Source organism: Homo sapiens, chromosome 13 (genome assembly GCF_000001405.40).
Source record: "Homo sapiens chromosome 13, GRCh38.p14 Primary Assembly".
Taxonomy (NCBI): Eukaryota; Metazoa; Chordata; class Mammalia; order Primates; family Hominidae; genus Homo; species Homo sapiens.
The window spans coordinates 56841715-56865941 of NC_000013.11; positions in this window are offsets into that span (position 1 = coordinate 56841715).

Consider the following 24227-nt stretch of genomic DNA (forward strand, 5'->3'; position numbering starts at 1 on the left):
TTATTATGAACTTACTTGCAAGACTTATAACTTTTTTTGTCTTTTTTAATATCCAGAAAAATGTCAATTATTTTTTGAAAAGTTTTATTATTTTGATATAAGAAATTATTCCCCAGGTCCCTAAATAATGACAGTTATAATTTAGCTTAATGTTTAATATACTTTTTAATAATCACTTGTTTTTACATGTTCTTCTCTCCATTACATTTTTAACTAACTTGAAGAAAGAGCCTCTCTATTTTTCATTTAAGCATCACCTGAGGCCAGAGCCCCGTAAGTTTTCAATAAGTGTTTCTGAAATTTAATTTGGGCTTTTCTCTTTAACATATTACTTCATTGGATAAAGTCACAGAGTTCACAATTAAGCTATTCTTTTATAAAAATGGAAATTACCCTTTATTTTTGCTTCATTTGAACATTAACTTACAGAAAATAATTATATGCTCTTTAAAATAATAAGGTTTGTTATGAAACAGGTATAAGTCCCTTGATAGATAATCTTCTGACTTAAAATATTAATGATAAAATGAAATATTTATATTTTTGGTACACAACCATTTTTCTCTACGTGTCACTGTATCTTCTTTAATAATCAAATATGTTTCAGCATTTAAAAATTATTTTAGAGGATTATATTCTTGTCTTTTATGTAAAACTCTTGTACCTTTTATAATAAAGTTACGTAAATCAGAAATTCTAAAGCACAGATGACATGAGGCTCACAGAAATAAATAGCTTTTCAGTTTTTTCTTAAAAAATCCCTAAAATTTGTTAAGAAATTATTACTGTCATCTTTTGTAAGTTAATAGCAAAATATTTCTTATTTCTTTTTATTTTATTTTTTTTATTATACTTTAAGTTTTAGGGTACATGTGCACAACGTGCAGGTTTCTTACATATGTATACATGTGCCATGTTGGTGTGCTGCATCCATTAACTCTTCATTTAACATTAGGTATATCTCCTAATGCTATCCCTCCCCCCTTCCCCCCACCCCACAATAGGCCCCGGTGTGTGATGTTCCCCTTCCTGTGTCCATGTGTTCTCATTGTTCAATTCCCACCTATGAGTGAGAACATGCGGTGCAGCCTATCATTGTTGGACATTCGGGTTCGTTCCAAGTCTTATTTCTTTTTTAGAAGATATATATTTATTATTGTGAGTAGAAGAGTTGAAGACTCTGCTTTTGATGTATGTAAAATAATGATACAGACAGATTAATTGTTAATAATTGTTAATCAGGTTAACAAATTGTTAATAATCAGAACAAATCACAACTATCGTGATTCTCATCCTCCAAATAATTATTTGAAAAATAATGTTAAGTATAAAACATGTAATATACTTTTTGTTTTGTAAATGCTAGTGATTTCTAAAATTAAAAATCACTTGTACAAAATAGTGCATATATAATATATATGCACTATTATAAAATAGTAATACATATATATAATCTTTTATTTTTCATTAAAACAGCAGTGATGTCAACATATTTAAATTTCTTTAAGTGATCATCTAAATACTCTTTTCTTCCATATTTCATCTTAAAAATTTGCAAATAGCTTTCATTAAAATGAAAATGAGATATATACATAAAATATAGAGGGCTAGAAAATTAAAATAACTCCTAATTTAAAATTTATTATTTTACTTTATAGGAAGGAAAAATTATACTATGTAAAGACTACTGATTTATTTTCATTCTACTATAATTTGTTTACTGTCTTTTGTGAAATTTTCACCAAGTAACTCTGCTAATAATATCCATTACTGAGGCTATGTTCCAATTAATACTGATACTTCCACCTATAATACAGAGACATATTCTAGCAAACCAAAATCTATTCTGGTAAATTTACACTTATATTCATAATCATTTAGCTTATTGTTCCTCTAGAATTTGATTTTATTTTCTGAATACAATGTAAATCATAATACAGAATTTGAAAGAAAATACAAATGACAGATACTCTTGGTAAAAATGTGTTTGTATCTCATTAGATAAATACAGGCGGTGTTATTGACTCAACTATATCTACCTAAAGGAAATAAATCTTTTAGAGATAAGTAACATTTTTCTATATACAAGTGTAGTTTCATAAGAGTTACTGTAGTTTTCCAGAACTTGCATGATCACACCATCGGAGGTTAGCCACGCTAACTCTTCACTGTTCCTACAGGATGAATATAAACAATTTAGTGCAGTTGCTCTATGGTGACATTTTGTAAGCACATATGTGCACACACACAAGTCCATATACATATATATTTATTTACTTATTTAAGGTAATACAACAAGCTGTTGAAAATCTGAGCATAAAAGTCTATGTTTTTGTTTTTTTCTCAAGAAATCAAACCATGACTGTGAAAAACTATTCTTGGAATGCTATTTTTCTTTGGGGACAAAATCAATTTTCTGACAATCTTGATTCCTCATTATAATATTAAAAGGAAAAGATAATATTAGTGGTTAAAGGTAACTCCTCACAAATGGAAATCAAGAAATAAGCTGTTTTATCCCCTGAATACTTTTTTTCTTTAAGATTAACTCACATGGCAATTGCCAAAGTTGAAACCTAATCAGCCTGAACATTGCCTATAGTTACAATCTGCCAAATACTTTCAAAACTGTAGATTTTGTATGTAGATTAAATTTGAAACACTTGTGAGGCAAGAGAAACGTGGCTATTTATAAAGAGTCAATATCTAATTTGGAAATAGAACATTTTTTCATTGTTCTCATTCATGTAGCAATAAACTTGCAGATAGTTGCAAGGAGTAGAGTAGTTCAAGAAATACAACACATTCCCTAAAAAACTTAAATTATATTATGGTTCTAACATAGAGTGGTGAAGGGAAATCCTACCAGTGTATAATCTTGATCTGTGCACTTTATTTATTTTTAGATTTTTTTAACATCTTTTACCTGAAATGAGAGATGACCTAATGGCAAATGGCTTGGGTGATCAGGGATTTGGATATCAATAGGGAAGAGTAAATATCACCCAGACACTCTGTATTATTTTCTTTATAAAAAAGGCTTTTTTTACTTTATGCTAGATAGGTGTATCTTGTGGAGATATGACATAATTATTATTTATATTTGGAGATTAAGTACTATTTTACAGATGTGTATTTAAGGAGATGTGTATGGATGCCAAATTGACAAGTGGTGAACTCTAATGGCTTTGTCAAATTGGCTAAGCTAAACTGTGTTCTTCAGAATTCATTTTCTAATGTGTCTAGATAGGTTGGGTTACAAAAGATATTCTCTTGTAAGCGTTGGTGGACAAAGGGGATTCAACAGCCTAAATTCTCCCAGTTACTCAAACACTCTAGTGTATGTGTTCTATAAAGGGATTTTTTTTTTTTTTGGTGGTGGTGTTGGAGGTGAAATTAAAGTTCCCAATCAGTTATCTTTAAATTAGAGATGCTCACCCTGGGTATACTTGATTTCATCAGTGGAAAATTCTTAAAAGTGAGTTTGGACTTTTTTTCATGAGGAGGAGATTGATTTCCACTTGTTGCAGTAAGTTTGGTCCATGCTCATGTATCCAGCCTGGCTATGATATTTCAGACTTTAAACTTGCTAAATAGCAAGTTCACATTTAGAATTACTGAGTAAACATCCACAGTTGCTTTAGCAGCAAATTCCTTTACATATGTAGTCTCCACTGTTTCTGTTATAGAATCCTAGTTGATAAAGATTTTGATACAAAAAGTGATTACAGAGCAACAGATTTTTAAGGATGTATTATTTTAAATTTTCTGGGTTTTCTGGAAGTGTTTTTCTAATCTGTTTAGATTTAATGGCACTAATGAATGTTTCCAGTGGTAAAGACAGCATTGGTTCAACGAAGTTTTAAGAGGCCCTAGAACTCCAAGATGGAAGAAGTCAAGGGGATTTGAAGCAGTCTGAGGAAGTTACACTTCTGTTGGATTTGAAGAAAAATAATTCTATATCTGGAGATGATCACATGGCAGGGAATAATGGGCAGCCTCTTAGATTTGAAGTCCTCAGTCCTCCAACCACAAAAAACAAAATTCTGCCAGAAATCTTCAAGTTTAGAGGAGAACTCCAAGCCCCAGATGAGACTGCAATTATTTCCAAAACCTTGAGTTCATCCTGGTAAGATTTAGAGCAAAAGACCCACATAGCTTATGCTTCTACTCTTGACCCAAATAAATTGTGAAATTATACATCTGTATTGCTTTTGTTTTGAATTTCTAAATTTGTGTTAATTGTTATGAAACAATAGAAAACTAATACAAAAGATGATACATAGGGTTTTGTTTGTTTGTTTGTTTGTTTTTTGAGACAGAGTTTCGCTCTTGTGTCGCCCAGGCTGGGGTGCAATGGCGCAATCTCAGCTCACTGCAACCTCCGCCTCCCATGTTGAAGGGATTCTCCTGCCTCAGCCTCCTGAGTAGCTGGGATTACAGGCGCCCGTCACCACAACTGGCTACTTTTTGTATTTTTAGTAGAAATGGGGTTTCACCATGTTGGTCAGGCTGGTCTCAGACTCCTGACCTCAGGTGATCCACCCACCTCAGCCTCCCAAAGTGCTGGGATTACATTCATGAGCCACCACGCCTGGCAAAAAGATGATATCTAGGTTTTATTAATCCAATATTATATGCATTATTAAGGCAATCATATGGTAAAATCAATATACCACATAATATGTATGTATATAATATGTGTATAGTAGCAGACAAATACTAAATATGCATTATTTACATTTTCTCCTGAACAAACGAGAAATTTTCATTCCCCTGTTTCTTGCCTTTATTCTGGGGCTGTATGACTGGGTTCTCTTTAATATAATCTAAGCAGAAGTCATATATGCAATTTCCAGCTCTGGATAGAAACATCTCTTTTGTTTACACCAAGTTCTTGCTTGCCATGCAAAAATAGCAAATTGGAAGGACACAGGTCTCTGAGTTATCACTTGTCAGAGAACTCTCGGTAATACATTCTGTGCTTTAAAGGACTGGGTTTTAGGGCAAAGTATAGATTTTAGTCACGTTAAAGACTAATATTTGGGATTTCCTTGTAACAGCTATTACTCATTTACCCAATCTACTACAGTGTATGTATGCTTCTCTGGAATGCAATATAGTACCTTGTAAAGAATCTGACTCTGACACTTGATTGTATAAAATTTGAGTCTGAAGTTTGAAATCCTGAATGAAATACAGCTAGCCCACTTACTATATAGTGACTTTGGCAAAATATTAGGCAATTACAAAAATGTGCATGCTAGAACTTTGGATATTGTCTCACAGCTGTTAAGTGTTCAGTTTTTTTCTCCTCCTCTTCTTATTCTTCTCCTTCTCCTTCTCTTCCTCCTTACCTTCCTCTTTTTCTTTTTCTTCTTTCTCCTCCTCCTCTTCTTCCTCCTACTCCTGAATCTCTGCTCCCCTTCCTCCGCCTTCTAGTCTTTCTCCTACTTCTTTTTTATTTTGCTCTATTTGCATTTCAGACTGTGTATTTTTACTGACTTATCCTAAAGTTCACTGATTTCTTTCTCAGCCATGTCATGTTACAGACGGGCCCATAAAGACATCCTTTATCTGTTATTGTTTTGCTGTGTGTGATGGCATTATTTGTAAAATGAGCATTCAATTCGCTCTTATGATTTACATCTCTCTGCTGATATTTGTCTTGTAATCATGCTTGTAATCTACCTTTTCCATCAGAGCTTTAAACATGCTATTTATTGTTATTTCAATAACAAAAATATTCTAATTTCAAAATATTATCATCCAATAATAAATATCATATTCTTTAGCAGTCACTTCCCATTTGCTCTTTTCCCCTACCCCTGAAAATTACTATTCAACTTTTATCCTATTCATTTGCCTCTTCTGGAAATTCTGTATAACTGGATTCATATAAGATGTATCCTTTTGTGTCTGGCTTCTTTCACTCATCATATGTTTTCAAGTCTCATCCTTGTTGAAGCACCAATGAATACTTTATTCCTGTTTATAGACAAATATTTCATTGTATAGATAGACCACATTTTGCTTATCTATGGATCTATTGATAAACAATTTTTTTTCCACTGTATAGCTAATATGAAAATGCTTCCATGAAAATTTATGTAAATGATTATTTGTGGAAACATATTTTCAATTACTTTGTCAAATTTCTGGGTCTTTTGGCAACTCTATATTTGACTTTTGAGGAACTCTTTTCCAAAGCAATTATACCATTTTATATTCCTACCAGCAATATATGAGTGTTCCAATTTTTCCATATTCTTGCTAATACTTGTAATTGGCTGTATTTTCTAATTTTATTTATTCTAGTAGATGTTATGTGATATTTTGCTGTGATTTTAAATGATCTTTCCTGAATGACTAAAGATGTTGAGCATCTTTCCATGTGCTTATTGGTAATTTGTAAATCTTCTTTGGAAAAAATGTCTATTCAATTCCTATGTCTATCTTTCAATTCAGTGGCTTGTCTAGTCCTTATCGAGTTTTAAAAATTTTAAACATATTCTGGATGATATAGCCTTACCTTTACCAGATTTATCATTTTCAAATATTTTCATGCATCCTGTGAGTCATCTTTTCACTGTCTTGATAGTGTCTTTTGAAGTTTTTTTCATTTTGATAAGTCAACTTCATTTTATCTTAATTGCTGTGCCATATGTATCATAATCATATGTTAAAATGTTGCATATTCAACATCACAAAATGTGTAGTTATTTTTTTCTTCTATTCATGAGTTTAGCTCTCATTTAGATAATTAATCTTCAATTAATTGTGATATATGGTGTGTAATAGGTGGCCCATTTAAGCGTCAGAATAATACTTGTTGAAAGACAATTTTTCTCTATTGAATAGTATAGGCACCTCTGTAGAGAAATAACTGACTCTCAATAAATGGGTTATTTTCTTGACTCTCAATTCTCAAGACCTATACATCGATGTATATTTCTAACCTTATTCCATTACTACATATTCTTGATTACTGTAACTTTTTAGCAAGTTTTGAAAACAAGTTATGTTTCCCAACTTTGTATTTTTTTCTCAAGATGTTTTGTACATTCTGTATCATTTGCATTTCCAAATGACGTTTAGAAACATTTTGTCAATTTATGCAAAAAAGACAGCTTGGATTTTGTTAGAAATTGTGCTGAATCTGTAGGTCAATTTAAAGTATATTGCCATCTTACAACATTACATTTAAAAATTCAGGAACATGTGACATTTTGCCATTGATTTAAGTTTATTTTCTTTCATCAATGTTGGTAGTTTTTAGTGTACAAGAGTTGTGTTTTTGGGGTGAATTTATTCTTAGGTATTTTATTCTTTTTGAAGCCATGAAAATGTAATTGTTTTCTTAATTTCATATTCAGTGGTTCACTGTTAGTGCCTAGAAATACAATTAAGTTTTGTCCATTAATCTTACAACCTGCAACCTCATTGAACTTGTTTGAATTTTTTAGTGTTTATGTGGATTTTTTACTATTTTCTCTATACAAAATTATGTTGTCTGCAAATGAAGATGCTTTTACTTATTCCTCTTTTACTGGATTATATTTCGTTTATTTGTTTTGTTCAACTGTCCTGGGTAAAGCATCCATTAAAATATTAAAAATAAATTAAAGAGTGGACATTCTTGCCTTGTTTCTGATTTAGAGAGGAAAATTTCAGGCTTTCATCAATAAGTTAGTTAGCATTACATAGATGCCTTTTCAGTGGTTAGAACATTCTCTTCATTTCCTAGCTTCGTAGTTTCCTATTTCTTTATCATTAAAGGGTATTTGATTTGATCAAATTATCTGTATCTGAATCTATTAGGAGATCATGTCTATTTAATTCCTATGTCTGCCTTTTAATTCGAGGACTTATTTATTTCTTATTGAGTTTAAAAAAGTCAATATATTTTTAAATATTAAAAAAATTAAATATATTTTTATTTACTGTGTTTTTCATTTTTTTCAACTTTGTTTTCTGAACAAAACCATAGTACAAAAATATTTTTCAAGCTTACATGACAAATTTGTGTTTAAATTTCCAGCCATTTTGGAAATTTTATCTTGTACCTGTTTTGTGGCAGATGCTATGCATATGTTATCTACCTAGGTGTTATTTAAGCATTTAAGCAATGTCTTATTAGTGCCTCAGTAGAATTACAGTTTATAGATCACTTTGCAAGTAGATGAGATACTAAAATCCAGTGTTCTTCAGATGTGAAAATCCATACTTCCTACTTTATCATGACTTTTCTTGATCACATATTATACACATAAACACACACACATAGAAAATTTAGTGTGTGGGCAGTAGTTTCTCTATTTTTCCATTAGAGAAAATATCAGTGAGATTGGGAATCAGTGGACAGACAAGTAGGACAAAACAAAGGATGCCCTTCTGATAGAAATTTTCAACTTACAAATAAACACTTTGGACATTTTATTTAGCACTTGTCATCTGAGTGGTTATTTACATAAGTTTTTTTCCTTGCTATATGAGGTTATCTTTATGCTCAGTAATTTTACATTAAGACAATTTTGTCGGTAAACCTGGAGATCTGATGCTATTTTGTTGAAGCAAAGCTCTGTTAGACAGAGCTTTAAGTACAAAGGGCTCATAACAAACTAGTTACTTAATTTCATTATGTACTCTGTTACATTAGCAATTACAAATAGCTTTTTCAGTGTATGTGAAATCATGATTTTCATCAAAGTTTATTTGAAACACTATCAGTACATTTTATTAACTTATTATTTGAGTGTAATAACAAAACCATATGAAAGAAAAACAAGGTTGCAATCAATTTTTATCTTTCCACCAAAAGAAAATTTAACTCTTCATATTTATCATAATTTATCATTTTGAACACCACAAGTTAAAAGACTGAAAAATCCTTGTAGCTATATTCTGTAAATTGAGGATCTCCCAGGATAACACAGTAAGAAACATGAAATTCTGGAGACATTTTCCACTCCATTTTACTATTCCATCTTATATAAGAGACAATTTATGATTTTCCAAATGAGGTAATGAAAATAAGAAGCAATCATCCAGGCAGGTGTGTTTTAAAATTGCACATTTTTTTTCAAAAGGGATGTTCTAAAGACTTTCACTTGAAATAAGGTAAAATCACAAGATGATCAGAGACATAGAAGAGCTTAGCTAGAGAATACAGTTCAGAAAAATGTTGGCTCAGAAGCAATGAAACACATCTTGAGTTTTAATTTTGGATTGAGATTTAGACTTAGATCAGACTGCTACTGCAAAAATCACCCACTGAGTGAATACTACTTTGTGTGCTCCACAATCACCACCATCCCACAAAGTGCGGAAAGGCACTACTTTTTTTTAGATTATTGAACTTTCATTTTTTCACACCTCCTTCACATGCAGCTGGAGAGGCTTAAAGTCTCAGTAATAGGTTTGATTCATTGCTGCCGCTCTGAAGACTTAGTTTTCATATTTTTAGATTTTCACTAAGAGAGAAGAAACACATTAAGAGTTCATATATTTCAGAAGGCATTTTCTATTATTGAATCATTTAAATATTTTTTTAGTTAAAAATGTCCTTATCTCGAAGTAAGAATGACCAAATAATATAAATATCACACATGCACAATTAACATTTTGAGAATAATCTCAATGGTACAAATTAATAATTCATACTATCCTGAAATAATAAATATGTTCTAGATGTCCTCAAATTAATACATAAAAGAGAATAAATTTATGTGCAAAACTAAGCATATATTGTACACATTATTTAACCATGCAGATATATTTATACACACAGACAGATTGTATATATACACACAGATATATATATATACACACACATACACATATACCAGTAACCATTCTAAACTTGATATGAAGCATACACATATATAATTTGATGTTACATTGTATATATAATGCATATATACATACATATATTCAATAATGCCTTATTCATGTGTTAGAATAATTTAAATTTCCATGTTATGCAATAAATTTGAATTTAAATATAATTGTGAATTACTATTAATTTATTATATTAATTTCCACCCTAGTCAGCTACTAATCAACATCTACATAGGCAGGTAGAAACATATGATTAACACAATGTTAAACAAAAATAATATACTTTCTTTTGTATTAACACTTATCAATCCTATAACCTGTAAATATTTGTCAAAATTAAGATTGAATAGTAATACCAAGGTAAAAAAATAGTGATTGAATTTTTCTTTTTCCCCAAATGTACTTATTCTTAATATGTAGATTTTGTGTCTTCAGGAGGCATTCATAATTTATCTTCCACAAATCACTGTGGCTGCAAACTTTGCTAGCTAAAAATTTCATTTAAACACTAAATTTTCATTCCTGTTTTAATATCTACTTACAAAATTGAAAATAAAACTACTGGGAGAGTGGTGCTTTTTACTATTTCATCTAGGGAAGAACTAACTTAATGGCATATTAAAACTAAAATAAAATGTTTTATTAGATTCACATGTGTGAGCTAAATTACACAAAAATATTTTCCACAATCTATATCTTCTACCATATAAACTTTATGTAAATTATCTTACACATATATTCATCTATTGAAGTGTGTTATTGTCACCCTTCAAAGGGGAGATGAACCCCTGTTCCACCTCCCAAAATTTGATTTAAATGTCACAACTGATGACATCACATGTGCATCAAGCAGGTGTGAGTAAATTTACTTCTCGTAGATGAGGCTTTCTGGGGAGGGCAGAGCAGGCTCTCAAGCAGTCCAAAAAGAGGAGGAAAGGCAACTGGATTTGGTTTTTATTATGGTCAGAAAGTAGGGCTCACCTGAGGGTTGCCATGTGGGCAGGGTCTTACATGATTTTAATTGCTCACTAGTGCCCAAGGAGGGAACACCTGGGATCTCTTACCAGTTTACCTAAATGTTGAGGAGAAGGGAAGGAGGAATAGCAGGGCTTGCAATCTGTCAGAAATCAAATATCAAAAATAGAGTAAGACTATTACAACGTGACAGAAATAAACTACCTGCATTAAAGTACTATTTGTGAAAAACAGAACGCTTATTTTTATTTAACTAGAAACAGTATTCTTTGAAATGATTATTGATTCAAAATATGTAGCTATACTCTTTATAATGAGTAATAAAGACTAATTTATGGATCCCATGCATCACATTTTAAGCAAATTTAGTTGAAGAACTCTGTTTATCACTGTAAGGCTCTGTTTTTAACACAGACAATATGTCTGTCTTGTTTGCTGCCAGTCTGCTTGGCATTTTCCAATTTTCTTAAGCATCTCTGAGTTTTGTCTTTAAAAAAATAAAATTTCATTATTCCAGTTTCTTACAGGGTATCTCCATCAAATGGATTTTCAGTCTTATTTATCTGGCTTTCTTTCAAAGCAGATGGTAACACCATGTACATTTTCTCCTCAACTTAAAATTATTTTTCCTGTCTTTTCATGTCTTTGATAGACTTCCTAATAGGATAAAAAATTGCTTTACCTGATGGATATTCAGTGATGTTTCTGCTTCTTCAAGATATGCCAAACATATCTTCTGGGCAGTGCAAAAAAAAAGAAACAAAATGCATAAACGTTATATAGGATACTTGAGTTGTTTTTCCATGACTTAAATTTTCAAAATACACGTGATGTGATTTCTTAAAACCTCCCCCATTAATTAGGCTGTTGAAATACAGGTCACAGAATTGATATTTTCATAAAACCATGAAAAAACTATAATACTTATAAATTTAATAAATCTGAACAAATATTTCATAGTAGCCTTAACTGTTAAATAAGTTAAATCTAGCAAAAGACATATTAAAAGATAATTATACTAAACTTTTATTTTTAGGATGTTACCATTTCTAAGACACGTCTTTCAAAGCTTATATACTCATACATTTCAGGAAAAAGCCAAGGAGCTATTAATATTTTTGGATCCTTTATTATTCATAATAATAATTCTAAAATTTTCCTTATCATGTCTCCCTCTGAATTGTCTTTAATCAGCATGAGAGAACTAATAGAAACAATTTTTGAAGTGGGACAAGGTATCATTGAATGATCTTTTGTTCCTTATTTCAGGGAGTAAAATAATGTACTAGAAATAAAAGACACTAACATATGCCAGTGAATGCTTGTGATTTTATAAACAGAATGACTCCAGGACAATATTCTACTCAAATCCCTGGGGAAGGATAACACTAGAGGAAGACTCCTAAAACAATTTAGATGTGGTGGAAGTGAAGTTCTTCCACAACAAGGGCAGTTGTCTGTGGAAGATGTAACCACAATGGTGCTGTGTACACCCAAACTGTGTACCCTTAAAATCTCTGACCCTGGAAAAACTAGAGAAAATGCATCAAGCAGCATGGGATACAATTTGCCAACAAGAAATGGCAGAAAAGGAACAATGGCAAATACCCCCACTGAATGATAACTTAGCACTTTAGGGAAACAATCTGACTACAACCTGAAGGTTTGTAGAGTGTGGTTCTTCAGTAGGTTGCATGCCTACTTGAGACTGCATAGAGAAAGGTCACTGGTTCAGATTCTTAAGAAGATAGATCCTGCCAAACAACGTATTATATCAACCTACTGCACATCAAATTTTAGTAATCAGAATCACATTAGGAAAACTCTTATTATCAAATATGACAAATTGAAGGATCCACAGTCATCTTTCTTATTTCACTCCAATCCTTAGAGTGCCTCTAACACGTAGAATGTGTGAAATTGATCTGGTATTGAATTAAACCTAAATACTACTCTAATTTGGTAGATTCTATCACCATCATGAGAGAGGATAATTTTAAAAGCGTAATAATTTAGTGGAAGAAATGAAGACAGTACACATCTTATTGTTCTCTCTCTCTCTTCATTAATAGAACAAAACTTTAAATAGGAAGGTTTGGAGTATTTTAATTTTAAAACCATAGTGCCTTCTGCCTAAAAAGAGATCATTAAAAAATAGCAATTTTTTTCTTCAAGAACATTTTTCTTCCCCTTCAACTTGTCCTCTACATCCATATATTTTTCAAGGAGCTATTGGCTTCATATATGCTACCCATTCTGAAGGTTAAGTTGACCGGTCAGCGTCAAGAGAGCTAGGATATTATTTCTTTTCACTGGAATTTTTGGGATAAGAGTTTGATAGCAGCTTTTTCAGTGTCCTTCTGGGGTATAAAATTTATATAAAAGAGTGGTTGCAAACTATTTTTTCTGATATGAGATCAAAGTCTAAGGTAAAATGAATAAAAGAAGGGATGAGTTCAGAAGTGTGCAAATAATATAATAAACAAGATAGAGATATGTGTTAAGAAAAGACAACTCTTTTTGGTGGGGTGGATGTCTTGTACATTATAGAATGTTTAGCAGCATTTCTGCCTTCAGCTCACTAAATGGCAATAGCATCCTCCCTTCCTGTTGTGACAACCAAAAATGTCTGCAGACATTTCCAAATGTCTCTTCAGTAGAGGAACAAAATCATCCCTGGTTGAGAACTACTGGGCTAGAGTAACAACATAATTCATAGGCGTATGGAGAATTGCCGTCCATTGACTCTACAACAGGAAGAGAATAAAACAAAGAATGTAACTCTGAAAAGAATAATACTAAATGGTGAACAGAAAAAAAAGAATGTGAAAGGGGATTTGAAAAGAGCAAATAGACACTATAAAGAAGATTTCAGACTAAGTGAAAACACAAATACCAAAGGCAAAGAGAGTCTGACAGAGACCAAAAAGAGGATTATATAAGTGTTAAGTTAGACAAGACCTTTTAAAAAAGCCATTTTAACATAAGTGTAATTTAAAAGTGCTATGTTCATGACTCGCAGTCTCTAGACATGGTAACAGGACTTCATATGAGGAGGTAATCAGTGTTGCATGGGATCAAGTATTTTCAAGAGTAGTATGATTGTTTCTACAGCATTGTAATTCTTAATTTACAATGTTTAGCTACTCTTTGTGACATCATTAAGTCCTAAAATATGTCTTCCATATAAAAGAATAATGAAATTTAATATAATCAGACATAAGAGGAAAGAAATCACAAATATCTTCAGTGAATATTTAGGTTGTATATAAAAATGAATGAATTAAAATTTTTTATGTGTTGAATTAATTTTTAAAGGAGAAGATAATTACAATTGAATCATATAAGGTAGAAGTATTTTATGTATCCATCTTATATTTAAAAGTATGTCTTTAAATATTTATATTTCGTTTTGTAGAATTAATACAAGCAGGTCTTAGTAAAACAATTAAGTCTCAGTGTAACAAAAGCATTAAGTGATACTTAAATGTGTATTTTTATCCTATATTTCATGAGAATATTTGATTGTTATAATGACAGAAGAAAACATTTCTGGATGAGCAAACAGGGAAAAAAAAAAGACTGCTATACAACTTTAGCATCTCTGTTTATAGCAGCCAGTGAAGCAAGGTGAAAACATGAGAACTTGTGTGAACATGAGAGCTTGCCATAAAACAATTTTGGCTGATTTTTAAAAGGAATCACCAGCCGGGTGCGGTGGCTCACGCCTGTAATCCCAGCACTTTGGGAGGACGAGACGGGTGGATCATGAGGTCAGGAGATTGAGATTACCCTAGCTAACACTGTGAAACTTCATCTCTACTGAAAATACAAAAAATTAGCCCGGTGCGGTGGCGGGTGCCTGTAGTCCCAGCTATTAGGGAGGCTTAGGCATGAGAATGGCGTGAACCCGGGAGACGGAGTTTGCAGTGAGCTGAGATCACGCCACTGCACTCCAGCCTGAGCAATAGAGTGAGACTACATCTCAAAAAAAAAAAAAAAAAAAAGGAATCACCAATACCATTCAGGACATAGGCATTGGCAAAGACTTCATGACTAAAACACCAAAAGCAATTGCAACTAAAGCTAAAATTGAGAAACGAGATCTAATCAAACTAAAGAGCTTCTGCACAGCAGAAGAAACTATCATCAGAGTGAACAGGCAACCTACAGAATGGGAGAACATTTTTGCAAGATACCAATCTTCCAAGGTCTAATATCGAGAATCTAAAAGGAACTTAAACAAATTTACAAGAAAAAAACAAACACCCCCATCCAAAAGTGGGTAAAGAATAGGAACAGACACTTCTCAGAAGAAGACATTTATGCGGCTCGCTAACATATGGAAAAAAGCTCATCATCACTGGTCATTAGAGAAATGCAAATCAAAATCACAATGAGATACCATCTCACTCTAGTTAGAATAGCGATTATTAAAAAGTCAGGAAACAATAGATGCTGGCAAGGCTGTGGAGAAATAGGAATGCTTTCACACTGTGGGTAGGAATGTAAATTAGTTCAATCATTATGGAAGACAATGTGGCGATTCCTCTAGGATCCAAAACCAGAAATGCCATTTGACCCAGCAATTCCATTACTCCGTATATACGCAAAGGATTATAAATCATTCTGCTATAAGGGCACATGCACACATATGTTTATTGCAGCATTATTTACAATAGCAAAGACTTGGAACCAACCCAAATGCCCATCAATTATAGACTGGATAAAGAAAAGGTGACACATATATACCATAGAATACTATGCAGCCATAAAAAAGAATGAGTTCTTGTCCTTTGCAGGGACATGAATGAAGCTGGAAGCCATCATTCTCTGCCAACTAACACAGGAACAGAAAACCAAACACCACATGTTCTCACTCACAAGTGGGAACTGAACAATGAAAGCACATGGACCCAGGGAGTGGAACATCACACACTGGGTCCTGTGGGGGGTGGGGGACAAGGGGAGGGAGAGTATTAGGACAAATACTTAATGCACGAGGGGCTTAAAACCTAGATGACAGGTTGATGGGTGAAGCAAACCACCATGACACATGTATATCTATGTAACAAACCTGCATGTTCTGCACAAGTATCCCAGAACTTAAAGTAAAATTTTTAAAAAAGAGAAAATATTAAAAATAATTTAAAAAAAAAGGAGTGGCCAATGAAGGGCTTGAAATTTGTCTGCTTATTTGGCATCATGCAGGGTATGATTCAAAGATTTCTTCTTAGCCCCTTTAATCATACTTAGAATTTTCACTGTATATGTTAAAATGTATTTCCATTTCAAATAATCTAGTTTTCCTTAATAATTTCGATTTAACTATGTTGTTAGAAAAGAGATGAGTGGGAAAAATATATATCATGTACAACTGTATATCTATGAATAAAATATGTGATTATCTCATATGCAAATACATTTGATTTCTTAAATTTGTGGCAAGTAAGCTATAATTTTAATTATACTTTGCTTTGGGAGGAAAGAAGTTTACCCTTTTAGTTTAATTTATAAGTATTACTTATTGAATATGCTTCTACCATTATTTAAATTCCATGTAGAGAAATGAATATATAAGTTAGTTTCTGTACAAAAGAAACTAAATTATGGTATAAAATGAAAGACTAAACATGGTACAATATGAAATTTTTCCATATTTTGTCGGACATGTAATGGCCTTGAAGACCAAATGAGAATTACTGTCAAATAGTCAGCTTTCCTGTTCTAACATTATACAGATACTGCTTTTTCTTAATAGCTGAAGGAATTTCTAGGATTGTACTAATTTATTATATCATAACAGGTATAAAAAGTTTAAATCATGAAAAAGCCCAAAGAAGTCAAAATCAGGGTATTAATTAGCCTGGATAAGTACAATAAATTCAGGCACGAAAGAGATTATGACAACTTTTTAATTACTAAAGTGATGTAATGGAGAAAATGAATGTTGATGTGTGGAAATGATTATTTCACTGCAACAAATGAAATCTTAGGTATATAAAGTGATTATAGAAATAGATTTTATGTTCTTTTTAAATTTTCATATTGATTGTGGGTTCTATGGAACAATTTTACATGTCAATTAAGCATTTTATGAGTTTTCTTATGACATTTTTGCCTATTTTTTTTCCTTTGGAAATGTGGGTATTTCCATTAATTTTTCTGAAAGTAAGTAATTTAGATAGCCAAATCAGGGGAAAAATGTTTTTAAAGGAGAATAATTTATGTAAGCAAAGAAACAGCATTAGGAATGGTCATTATATATTAATTGGATAGTGAAGACATTGTCTGATTAAAGAATGTGCATTGATGCCGAAAGAAATTTGTTGGATCAGGAGGGTGAAATCTAGAATTTTAAAAATAGGAAAAAAAATTCAGGTAGTCAGTGGATATTTGAGCTATAATATATTTGAGAATAGGCAATTAACCTAAGCAAGGCAGCCTTCAGATAAACAAAGTGGTTTAAAGAAGAAGAAATTGTAGACAGCAACTTCAGTTAAATAACACTATTATAGCAATTCAAGTTCAAGGTGACTAAGAGATAGAATAATGTGTAGGCTGAATACCATAATTCCCCCTTATCTGAGAGGGATACATTTCAAAATCCCCAGTGGATGCTGGAAGCCATGGATAGTATGCAACTCTATATATACTATGTTTTTTTTCCTGTACATACATACTGATGATGCAGTTTAATTTATAAATTAGGCACAGTAAGAGATTATCAGCTACTCTTTGGCATATATTTTGATTCTCTTTGACATATATGAATTGCCAGCATCTGTAATCTTGTGCACTGGGACTACCATTAAGTACAATAAAGATTACTTAAACACAGGTACTGTGATATTGCAACAGTCAATGTGATAATTTAGATGGCGACTCAGTGGCTAATGGGCAGATGGTGTCTACAGTGTCGACATGATGGACAAAGGGGTGAATAAAGTCCCAGGCTGGACTGAGCAGATGATGTGAGATTTAATCACACTACTCAGAATGATGCTCAATTTAAAATGTATGGATTATTTCTAAAATTTTTCATTTAATATTTTTGGACGACCATAATATTCACAACATCTAATGGCATACATAGTATTAAGGTAATATTAAAACACGTAAGAGCAGACACTTTGATATAAGCCAGATATTGTCAAATCTCAACATACAACATATCTTTGAAATTTTGGTTGAGTTACTTAACTTTCTAAACATTAGTTTTCTCTCCAGTAAAACGAAAATACTGATCCTTAGCTCATAAAATTATCATGAAAAGTAAATAAGAAAGCATATGTAAAATACTTTGTAGAGAATAAAGGTCTCCAAATGTTAACATAATTATGATATTACTTTTATATCTATTTGTACTTCTAGACTCTTAATTTCATATACACAAACCTTTGTCATACTTACCTCTTTATTCCATGTACTTATCACATAGCTCATGTTCAATAGATTCTTTTTAAGTAAGCAGATGGCTAGATGGATGAAGGAATAAGGAGAATGAATAATCATAAATTAAAAAAATAATTTGGCCACTAAAATATCCAGTGGAAGGGGAATATTTAACTTTTCCCATTTGGTTTTACTTCGATATGTCATTTTCTAATGGTAATTTTTTAAAAAGCTTTAAGTAACTACACATAAATACATGTACAATTTAATTGTTGGTATTTACTTAGTTTTTGTGAATGCTGAAAATCTAAAGTGAGGGTATAATAACACCAAAGTAGGGGATCTGATACCAGATTTAAATAGACTGATTTTGTTATGTAGGAAATATAAGAAACAGTAGTAAAAACTGCATACCAAAATCAAGCTGCCTTTAGCACCACTTCAAATAATATTTTGCTGTGTTTATAAGGATGAGATTTGTTTCTGGAAAATTACCAGATGCTCACAACGTTAAGGTCAGTTCAATATTTATTCTGTGTTGAAGAGGCCATGCATCAATTTCAATGTTCTGTATTCCTTCTTTAGGCTTTTGCTTGCACTTGATAAAATGTATATCTACGGTTAGATGTTTAATTAAGAAATGTTTTGCCAACAGTGTACATAGCATGGCTTTACACAGTTAAAATTTCTTGGTGGCTCTTTTAAACAACTCCCAACATGTAATGCTGCAGGCTGCTTTAGGCTTCAAACATGTATATGTTCTCTGTTATCATGTACTTGCTTGTTCAGGTTATTTTATCTTAGATTTTTGGTAATGTTATGAAGCACTGCTTTGTATTTTTCTATCATCTGTCCACATCATACTGTGAAGTAAGTGTTATTTCATCATCTGGGTGAAAATGTTGTTAAGATAGAATGCAACAGTTTCAAACTGTGTTATAAGCAACAACCAATATCTATCAGTAGCTGAAGTGAAGTGGATGAAGAAGGTGACAGCACAGCTATCTTTCAAACAATTCAGATAGTTATTTGATAACTACCTTCATTGTTACCATATTTCTTTGCTTTACTTCCATATCTGATTTTTCACATGTATTCTAGCATGTGTCACTGCTTTGAAGGGGCCAAGCTGGATAGAAATAAATATCTAAAAAATGGAATGCTATTTTTTAAGTAGTCGCATTACACTCAAATATAACAGATTAGAATTATTTCTAAATTAGACTAGCCTTTCTGAAAAAGGACAATTACATGCAGTCCTGTAACATATGTAAGTCTATACAAAAGAATATAGTCCATATATATATTTAATTCTAAATTCTAGATTATATAAAGTTTATAATCAACAGTGTCCACAATAAGAACTCATTGCAGCCTTATTAAAACCTACTGAAATATTGTGAAAGAAACTGCAGCCAGGCATTAATACTAGGTGATTATCAGAAGAAAATAGTTTAGAGACTTGATTGCAATTATAAACTGTTTAATTCACAAAGCATGCATTACATTCTATTATTTAGAGTGTTTGTAGCCTATGTCTATTAGAGAAACTGCATACTAAACCATTTCTCTCAGCTAGTCAAAATAGGCACTTTCATAACACCAATGTAGATTTCTTTATGCGGCTTCAACTTCATTTTAAAATCTGCTTGAGTCATTTATTGGAACAGAAATAAAGTCATTTCAAAAGAATGTTGTCACAAGATCAATATCTTTGAAACTATGCTTTGGCTGTGACTGAGCATTTTTGTAGACTTAGAGCCTGTTATATGGTGATAGAATTCCAGATCAGCTGACATTCCCTTTCACTTTTTAGCATCACCATAGTATTGTCTGCTGTTGTTGCTCATTAAATAGTGACTTAATACTTTTGACATGTGAAAAATTATATATCTTCATTCAATTATCTATAGAAATGTGCATCCTCGATATGATTTTCCTGTGCTATTTCATATCATTGAATGCATTAAAATTTTTGAGCCATAGAATGAAAGAATTATTAGTATCAAATATTTCTAAGCATCAATTAAGAGTTCATAAATTGAATGGGAAGAAAAAGTATGGGGCAGTTGATCCCTTGATATCACCACCTGGACACCAAAGTGATGAATCTGATGTGCCTCTTAACTAAATATCATTATCTTCAAATCTACTTTGTGAAAGGCTTTCTTTTTATTATTACTTGACTCTCCTTAAAAGTGCTCACTCGCGTGTCAATGGGGTGTGTCTTGACACCTGTATCTCCATACTATGTATGTGCCTGCAATCCTTAGCTTAACTCTGGTCTTAGACCAAAATAATATTGATACAGGGTTGGTGAAGGAAATGGAGGCCCCTTAGGTCTTTCTTTTCTTTGCTTCTTGGTTTTTTTTCCCCTTTCCTTGGGCATATCCTTCCAAATCACATTTAGTCTTCTCACTTATACCCTCCTTCCCTCTGCATCATCTGAAACTCTCGCTCTTTAATAAACAAACATTCCACACTCATTTACTTCATAGAAAAGTTATTCTCCACTATTGCTAAATTAAAACCTAGGTATTTCCCATTGATGTTTTCCTTCAGGCTTGTCAACTAGAAGCTGTGCCTTCCCTGATACTCTACTCATTAAAGGGCTGAGAGGTAGAAGAATAATTTACAATAACTTCCAGACCACTACTTCTCAATTCACACAGAACAAAAACCCTCTGCTCCTTGTGAATTTTCTGCAGTCCCATTCCATCACTTTCCACTATGCATTGCACTTGACATCTTTTAACTTCCAAGGTCAGTTACCTATATTCAATGAGAAGACAAGTAAAAAAAAAATGGTTTTATTCCTTATCACTGAACATGTAATTGCTCAGGTCTATTTTTAAATTCATATATAATAAGAATTAAAATATAAAGAAAGATGCTCCTAGTCTTCATTAAATTTAGTCGTTTTACTATAGTCTACAGCCATGATCTTACTCAATACTTTTTCAACATAAACTACGATACCACTGTGAGCACACTCAAATCTATTATCTAAACATTAATTATAATTTCTTATCTCTTAGTGGTTTTTTCTTCACTCCTGAAAACAGCTATTTCTGTTCTTTATTTCTTTTATGTCAATATCTAACATCCTCTTCTTGTAGTTACATAAGCCTAAGTATCATAGACAGAATATTCAAACATACAGTTTTGCATAGGCATTATCAACACCATGGACTATTTGCATTTTTACTGTCATATCCCTAGCATATCATAATCACTGACTTAGTTAACAATTCAGTATTTCAACATTTCTTTGAACAAGTGAGGTATCAGCCCCAGCTGGAGAAAATACACATTAAAAATTGGTACCGTTAATAATAGAAAGGCATTAGGGGTAGTTGCAACTTTAAAATTTTTCTTTTATCTTTTGCTGTATTAGTTCAGCATATCTTGTAATTTTTCTTGATATCTATCTGAAAGGTTCTTATTCAACTCAAATTCCATCCCCCTTTCCTAAGCACATAGTTTCACTTCCAATTTGCCAAATGAGATAGGTGTTACCGGGAAGGGACTTTTCAAATCTCTAAATGTAATATTGATTATTTTTCAATTTAATCTTTATTAGTTTATTTTTCTTAATCAGGTAAGATTCTTTCACGTCATTGCTCAATCCTATTCATTCTTAGTATCTTGTGAAGCTTTCTCTATTGATAAATCCTTCTTCTCTACATTTTCAAGAAATTTCTTTCCTTGCTTCCTACTTAGCTTTTAAAATACATGCAAAACTTTGTCTCTCCCTATTTAACACACTATTCCTCAAATTGCCTTCAAAGCAAAGTTAACTATTACCACTGCATCAAAATTCATTAACATTTCATCCTACTGCAAAGTGGGTATAGAAATGCCTCCTCAGTCAATCAGGAGGAACAAAGGTACCAAAATGCTTCGAATGAGTTATATTCCTTAAAAGAGAATAAAACAACTCCTGAATATTCCTTCTTAGCTTAAATAGTTCTTTCTACCCTTTAGAGCCAACATTGAACAAGGATGCAGTCTTTACTTAGTGAAAAATGAGGCACTAGGATAAATACCATCGTCCCTATTTAGAAGACAACAGGTGGTCATAAGTTCTCTCAACCTCTTTTTTTTCTTAGTTGATGAACACCTTTTTTGTTCTGTATGACTTCTTGAATTCTACTTAAACTGGTTGGGGATAAATAGTAGTAAGGGAGAAATCTATAGATTAAACACTATTTTGTACCAAATAATCAATACAGAAAAATAGACCAGGGCCCTGGAGAGAAAAAACAGCATATTGGTAATGAGAAAGTTAAATTGAGTACGTTTTGAAGAATGGGATAATAAAATAAAGCAGCTGGTAGAAATCAACAACATTTTAGCAAGGAGGATGAGAGAAACGAAGTCAAGAAAGAAAGAAGACCCATAACACGGCCAGGAGATCATGTACAGTTTGGGGAAGAATAGTTTCTTGATAAGTAAATTGATAAAATATGTGGATATCTGTGTTAGCCTGGGTGGAGTAACAAAACAGAAAAATACTTCAGAAATAAGAAAGGAAGTCAGTTAAAAAGTTTATGAAGGGCTAAAAGAGCAAAAATACTATGGTGGATGCCAAAGGAGCAGACAAGAGGAGTGAGGAGTAATAGTATCAAATTTAGGGTAGCTTGAACATCTGGAGTCAATGTGCACTGCAGCCTACTTAACTACTTCACCAGGGACAACACCGACCGCTTAAGGAAATGTTCTTTGTTTTGGCCATTGATTTATGGCTTTCCCTTTATTCAGTTCCTTTTGTTTAAGTATAAAGACATAATTTATGATTCATACAGATGCCTAAAATACTTTGGCTTTGATTGTTTGTTTTATATATCTAAAAGTGGTTAGTGAGCCTCCTAGAACTTTGACATTCTACAGGTTTTCTTTCTGAGATCTTTAATGTCCACAACTTGGCTATCTCTATTAAAAAAATAATTTCCTCATCTCTGAAATATGGAAAAATGTCCTAATATATTCTCTGTGTAATTATTTTAGTTATCAAGTTACTACCTCATCAGTTGAAAACAAAGTGAAGTAAATGATAATCTCATACACTGGTTAAGTATCTCACTTACCCTAAGCCTAAAAATATGAAGTATTTGTCCTACATCTTTTCATGACCTACATCATTCAAATATTTATGAATAATTCAAATAAAAAAATCAAATTCATGAACTTGAATGGTATAGATTTTTAGTGTACTCATCCTATAAATCAATATAAACCAGAATATAAACACTTTTCAGAAATGTGGCACTAAGTTGAATATTCAAGTAAACTTCATGAACAGTGATGAGGAAGATTATATAGAGTGCAACTACCAGTAATTTATTTAGGAAGTGGAACATCTATGAGATATTTTCATGTGAAGAAGAAGTAACAGGGCTATCTACATGTGTTGTATAGGAAGCAGAGTCAAAAATATGCATATTTTATTTTGAAGAGGAAAGGCTGGGTATCTTTCTATTAGGATGCTCTTTTCTGCATCAAGTAGAAAGGAAATGAGTTGTGGTGCCCATGATGAAATCTGCTTATTCTTTTCCCTTTGTGTTATAAACAACGAGTTAGTGAAAATAAAACTTGGCTTCATCTATTCCTAGCTTCCCTCCCTGTCTGCTAGCAGAAATCAAGGGCAAACTTTTGAACTAACTATAAATGATAAATAAGGGTGTGGTAAGCATTCAATAGAAATACAAAAGAAGCAAATGGAAGAAGATGAATGGTTCTTTGTTTGGGAGGCTCAGGTTCTTTCTGAGAAGTACCAGGAGGTAAAATTAGATGTCAAGATTGTTAGTTCCTATATCAATGACAATAGTTGCCTTAAAACCTGGAAAGTATATCTGCTGCTTTTTTATTCCTTGTTGCTTGATGACACTTTCTAGAATAATGAGAATGTCTGCTTTATTACAGAACAGTTTCTCTCATCACCAGTAAATATTTCAAACAGAATATTGAGTAGTTTTATCAAATATCTGATTGGTTGTAGATATTAGGTACACTTA